Below are 7,215 nucleotides of genomic sequence, written 5' to 3' on the forward strand. Positions count from 1 at the left end.
ACACCCTTTCAACAATGAAAATTATAACCATATGACTCCTCCATCAGCTAACAGCTGTTGGAAAAAGGCCTAAGCCTTTCTTTCTGTGTACTGAGTCCAATTAAGCTGTAAAATCCTGACATACTAAATTGGTCTGTGGCCCATATTTTGAAGAGCTTTAAATAATTACTTACTCCTGCTGGAGAAGCTCAGTTTTTAAAGACATTTGGGTTATTTAATTGGGTGGCATTCATCCTTGCACTTATAGTTTCTACTAGGGGTGATGTGGTTGTGATAAATCCATTATAAATTGATTCTATGAAGACAATCCTTAAAAGCTAACACTTCCTTAAAAGCTCCAGGGATTATGTGTCTGTAGCTTGAAGAAATGACCAGTAGATGGGGCTCGGAATAATAAAATTGTAGCCAAAAATAAATAAATAAATAAAAAGTAAAATGATCAATTTATGTATTGTTTAGTCACAAATTCTTATTGAGCCACCACTGTGCATCTTGGATTATGCTAGGCACTAGGAGTACAAGAAATTAAAAAAAATATGGTTTATTAAGGTATACGGATATATTTTTTAAAATTATAATCATGGCAATGAGTCTAAATTAGAAGCATGCTGATGTTACAGTGTTGACGCAAAGAAAGAAGTGGTCATTTATCTGAGGTTAGAATTAAAATGTTTATGGAAGCCTGTCATTTGAGCTGAGTGTTAAAATGAGTGTATTTAGTATGAAAGGGAGAAGGCATGCATTTGAGACAGAGGGATCAGTATATGCAAAGCACAGCAGATTGAACTTTATATGCTTTCGGAAAGAAATACGATTTTGGCTAGGTTGAAGTAACCAGAAAAGAGGAAGTTAACCATTAAAGAAATTATGGGAAACAAAGACCCAAGGAGGCCAAGGGAAGCAAAGAGTTTAGCGATAGTTAAGGCTGGAATAAGCATGGACACAATCAGAAAAGACAAAGTAAACCATTAAAGAACCACAAATTCAAATGAATTCATGGGTTAGGCAGAAAGGTGTCTAACATGAAGAATGCCAGGAGGTAAGATATAGGAAACTGTTTAGTTCTGTATTGAAGGGGATGAGTGAAGCCACTAATTGAATACATTCAAATCTAATGTTTTTAAAACACCAAAAAGTGCCAAACAAAATGTATCTGAAGAATGAATGGATTAAGAGTTTTAAACTCCTACGTTATCTTAAGGTGCTGAGATAATTAACAAACAAATTCAAGGAGAGTGACATGATCAGATTTAGTTTTAAAACAGTCACCATGGCTATAGAGTGAGGAACAAACTGAGATGATACATCTATGGAGGAGGAGAAATGATATCCTACATGCCTGATAGGTCTACCAGAATAATTGTTAAAAAAATTAGTGCCCATCTAGTAGGCTATTATAAAAGATAAGGTGGTAGATTGGACTGAGATCAATGGTGATAGCAATAAGTATATATTTCTAAGAACCACTTAAAATACACAATTTTTAAAAAATGTGATAATATGATAAGATGTGGTGGAGAAAGGGATGAAAGAAAGCTCCCTATTTTACAGCTATAATTACAATCAAATATATTGTTTGTTCAAAAGGGCATGTCAGATTAGCATATTTTAAAAGGAAAAACGCTGCCAGAGGTTAACAGCTTAAATCAAAACCTAAAGTACTCAGATGAAAATGAGAAAGTCAGATTTTAATTAGTTCCTTTTTTGACTTTTAATATTTGAGGCATTGGAAGGCATGCAAGTGGAGACACCTCTGGGCCTGTAGTGTCTGTAGAGAGCTGTATTTAGAGATATGGAGTACAAAATGAGGATATTTAATTTGGGGTTAGTGGTATGAAGGTAGGTAAAGCTATGGAAGTGCATGGGCTATTTCCAAGGGCAGTAACAGAGTGAGACCACAAAAGAGCTTAGTATGGAACCTTGAATAACAACAAACTTAAAGGAAGATCAGATGGTGAAGAACTGACACAAAACTGAAAGAAGTCCATTGAAATGATGGGAAACAAAGACCTACGGAGGCCAGGGAACAATGGCTTCTTCCCAAAAGAGAACTCACTCAGATTGTGAAATGTTTCAGAGTGCTACACAAGTTAAACAGAGACTGAAAAGTGTCCATTGTGTTCAAGAACAAGGAGCCTGGAGAAGGTTGCAGCAAGTTGAGTTTTCAGCAAGCGGTAGGGTAGTAAAACAGATTATGATTTAAATTTGAATGGCAAGTGTGAAAATGTCGATGGAAAGTAGAAGCATCACAAACAAAAGTTTGGATGGGAAGAGAATTTAGAACAAGAGCAGAAAAGGATATTAACAGACAACTTTGAAATAATGAGATCATTTTTAATGGGAGGGAAGGTTTACATAAAGAAATTAGAACTATAGATATATCAAGACCTGTATTCAATTAGTGGTTTAATTATTTAAAAACATTTTTTCTGCTTCTCTTAAGCAGTAACCATTGCAAACTACTCATTTTGAAATCCACTTAATCTCTAAGCCTCCTTTGTAGGAATTCTTCTGTCATCATCCCAGCACCTATAAGGAACTAACTAACATAATTGGGAGGGGGTAGGAGAGTTTTGAAAAACTGTGTGATCAACGTGTGTACTACAATACGTGGAAGAACATTGCCAAAGGTTAGGTGATTTAAATCAACACCGAATGTACACAGTTGATGATTAGAAAGTCAAATTTTAATTAAATCCTTATGGATTTGTGAAAATTCTTAATTATTGTTGCTGTTTTATCCTTAACTAAATTTCACTCTATTGAAGTACAGCAGAGCCTTCAGTCTCCTGGTGGAATGCATGTAACCTGAGCAATTCATTATAAAGCAGTTTCTCTAGGAGAGCTTAGAAGTGTCAGAATTTATGAACATCCAAGCCCATTTGATTTGATTTTGTCTCTGGAGCATGTTTGCTAATGCACAAATATTATTCATTAATGTGCTAAGGGGTGTTCGCTAAAGCTGAGTGGTGGAATTACCTTAACTTTAGCAGAAAAGCTATCACTCTTTTCAAGCAAAGAATGCTGATGAGAAAAGTCTCCCAAAGAGTTGTGATGGTGTAGAACAGCCCCAATAAATAAAGTGCATGTTACTGCTTTTGTTAATGCCCATGGGAAAATAATTACATCTACATCTTTTCCATTAATCTGTTTGGGAGATTTTATGTCTAATGAAAATGATGGAGAAATTCAAAAGTGGGCCTGAAGAATGATTAACTTTTAAGTCCCTTGTTATTATTCCTTTTAGTCAAGAAGAAAAGAAATGGGCTGTCTAAACTCTGGCAGTATGAACTCTAATTTTGTCATACTGTTTAGTGCGTAGGAAAAAATACTGCTCCCTTACTTTATATGTAACAAGATAAAAATATATGTATCATGTAAGAAAAGCCCAGAAGTTGCCAGTTTAGGGCTGGCATAGCAGCTTCATGTTAACTGGGACCCAGGATCCTCCATTCTTATTGCTCTGCCATCCCGAGAATGTTGTCTCAAGATTGCTGACTTAAAACAGCTCCTTGTGCTCCTACTATCACATTCATATTCCAAGTAGAAGAAAGGAGAAAGGGAAAAAAGAGAAGTGTACCTTCTCCCTTTTCTAAATTTACAGTTCATTAAAATATCACATAATAAAGAAACACACTCAATGTACAGCTTGATAAATTCTCACAAAGTAAAGACAAACTTTTAACCGTCACCTAGATCGAGATATGGAACACTATCAACACTCTAGAAGACACTCTTATGACCCTTCTCGTAATTATTCCCCTCAAAGGTAATCATTATTCTGAATTTCAAAACCATAAGTTAATTTTGCTTACTTTTGAAACTTACATAACTGCAATCATAGTGTATGTTCCTTGTTTTTCTCAAAACCATGTTTGTGATATGTATTTATGGTTACTTCTAATTATAGTTTTTCTCTCATTGATATATGGCATTGTACTGTAAAAATATACCACAATTTATCGGTCGATTCTTCTAACATTGGGTAGTTACTACAATAGTGCTATTTATGAACATTGCTTTATGTGTCTTTGTAAACATATGTCTGTATTTCTGTGGAGTATAATTAGATTGAGAAGGCCAGAGTATAACTTGTGTCTATCATCAGCTTTAGTAGCTATTACTAAACAGTTTCAAGAGGTGTTGTACCAATTTATATAACTTCCATCAGTGTGTGGGAATTACAGTTATTTCATAACCTCGGCAACACTTCACATCATCTTTCTTTGTAATTGTTAGCAATTCTGATAGGTTTTCAGATTTTAATTCACATTTCTCTGGTGTCTATGCATGAGGATCTTTTCCATATATTTAATAATTATTTGAATATCTTCTTTTGAAAAGTGTCTGCAAAAGTTTTGGCCAATTTTTCTTTTGAGTCTTTACTTTTTCTATAGATCTGTAAAAGTTCTTTGAATATCCTGGATGTGAGTTCACTGTGGCATATATGTTTTGAAAATATCCATCATAACTCTGTGGCCTGTATTTTCATTCTCTGAAACTTTTGATTTCATTTTATTTTAATCTAAGTTTTCATTTTTAATAAATTTCATTTCACCAATATTTTCCAGTATAGGTAGTTCTTCTTGTGTTTCATTTTTTAAAACTTTGCTTTCTTCAGAACTACCGTGATATTATTACTGTTTTTGTCCAAATAGCTAATTATTTTAACATTTATATTTAGATCTGTAATCCATCTGGAACTGGTTTTTATCTGTGGTGTGAGGTAGAGGTAAAGTTTCAATTTTTTTTTCCCATATGGAAACTCTAATACATTAGCATCATTTATTGAAAGGCCTTCTTTGTCTTATGCACTGCAGTGTTATAAAGCAAGCAACTTTGTTATAAAGCAAATTATTATATTTGTGTGAATCTGCATTGAATCAGGTCTCTTTTCTCCCCATTTCTTCTGTCTATTGGACTTTCTATGTACCAACATAATATTATCTAAATTACTGTAGTTTCATGACAAGTTTTGATTTCTGGAAGCATAAGTGCCCTGGCTTTGTTCTTCAAGATTGTCTTGGCTATTCTTAGCTCTTTGTATTGCAATGTAAGTTTCAAAATAAGCTTGTAAATTTGTAAGAAAATAATGGAGAGATTTTGATTAAGACTGCCTTGACTTTATAGATAAATCTGATGGAGAGTTGCTATCTTTATAGTTTTGAATCTTCTAACCTGTGAACATCGCATTTGCTTCCAATTATGTAGTTTTCTTTATCTCAGTGGTATTTTAGGCCTTTTGTTGCTGTTTTTGTTGCTAGTTTGTTTTAGTGTATATGCCTCATATCTTTTACGAAAACAATTAATGGGTTATATTTATTATAATATAGCAAATATTATCATTTAAAATTAACTTTCCTGTTTGTTACTAATATATAGCAATACAGTTGATTCTACATATTTACAATATTTAGTGACCTTGTAATATTCCCATATGAATTCACTTGGATTTTTCTACCTGCATCATTATGTCATCTATAAATAATTACAGTTTTATATTATCTGTTTCATTTATTGTTTTACATCCTATTTTTATCTTTCTCTATTGCACAATTCTAGCTTCTCAAATTCAAGGTGGATACAAATGTTGGTAACACGTGTCGTTGTTTTTTCCTCCAGTTTAGGAAAAGCTCTAAATATTTCACCTTCAGTGTAAAGTGGTATAATTTTCACAGGTAACTGTTAATCAGGGCAAAGAGTTTTCTTTTTAATTTAATTCAATGAGTAGTTATCATGACTGAGTTTTTAAATTTAACAAATAATTTTTATTTACCTATTAAGATAATCATATGATTTTCTTCTTTATTCAGTTAATTTGATAAATTGTACTACTTATATTTTTATTATTAGGCTAAGTTAACATTCCTCAAATTAAATTGTAGTGAAGATTAATGAAGTAATAGGTTATTAGGCAATATTTGAATGTGAGATGAGGCTGGTTAGACAGATAATATAGCTCTACCTATAGATATAAATAAAGATGTATACCTTACCCGAACAGGGAGATAAATATTACCAGAATTACAGTGATGTGTGTGACTCAGAGCCATGAATCCCATATCTGTATTACTTTCTTCCATCGTATAAGCCAGGATATGGCAACCACCACCACCCGCCTCTTAAAAGCACACATCCCACACAGATATATCCTAAGTAGCATTTCATTTATCTCTCTCCAAAACAAACTTGGCTTTTCAGGAAGTATTGAAAACTGATCAAAGTAGCAAGCACCAAATTGCAACTTGATGTGCTGTGTTTTCCAGAAAAATGCCATTTCCAGAAGAATGCCATTTTTTAAAGCATCTGAATTATAATTTTTTTAAAAAAAGAAAAGAAGATACAGATCTATGATAAAAGGAGATTTTATGTTAAAAATGAAATACTCCAACTCTATATTAGTTTTCTTATTTTTAAATTTGTGAGTTTTGAAGACCAGAAGAATTGTGTTCTAATATAGGTTGTGCCCTGTCACTTGATAATTAATGAGGCTTAATTAGTCATTCTCCTTTTGTGAACTACCATTTCTTAATTTGTTAACCATGAATAATGCTATCTTTTGTGAAAGGAAAATAAATCTTTGGGCCTCAAAATCACTAAGCTAAAGAGGAAAGTCAAGCTGGGAACTGCTCAGGGAAAACCTGCCTCCCATTCTATTCAAAGTCACCCCCTTGCTCACTGAGATCAATGCATATCTGATTGCCTCCTTTGGAGAGGCTAATCAGAAACTCAAAAGAATACAACAATTTGCCTCTTATCTAACTCTGACCTGGAAGTCCCCTCCCCTCTTCCAGTTGTCCCACCTTTGCTTCGAGTTGTCCTGCCTTTCCAGCAGACTGGACCAATGTTAATCTTACACATGTTGATTGATGTCTCAGGTCTCCCTAAAATGTGTAGAACAAAACTGCTCTGACCACCTTGCACATACGTTGTCATGACCTCCTGAGGCCATGTCATAGGTGTGCATCCTCAATCTCGGCAAAACAAACTTTCTATATTAACTGAGACCTGTCTTTAATACCTTTAGGGGTTCACACTTTCAAAGGATTGTAATGGGTTAGAGACAATAAAGTCTAGCACAAAGCCTAGATATGATTGTTACTTAAAAGTTATTATTCCTATTAATATTCTATATAACAGTTTTTCTTCTTCATATACTGATTTCAATTTTCAGCTCAGGAGAGTTTCTCCCAATTCATCCCTCCATGCTTTACT

At 33.7% G+C, this 7,215-nt stretch overlaps 1 annotated feature.

The window, feature by feature from the left end:
- Positions 6,440-6,986: an enhancer, noted in NCBI's record as "OCT4-NANOG hESC enhancer chr2:140242349-140242895 (GRCh37/hg19 assembly coordinates)". NCBI's record gives its function as "activates a minimal SCP1, AML or CMV promoter by ChIP-STARR-seq in primed H9 embryonic stem cells {active_cell/tissue: H9 hESC(primed)}" and the evidence as "EXISTENCE:reporter gene assay evidence [ECO:0000049][PMID:30033119]".

Source organism: Homo sapiens, chromosome 2, assembly GCF_000001405.40.
Source record: "Homo sapiens chromosome 2, GRCh38.p14 Primary Assembly".
NCBI classification, from domain to species: domain Eukaryota; kingdom Metazoa; phylum Chordata; class Mammalia; order Primates; family Hominidae; genus Homo; species Homo sapiens.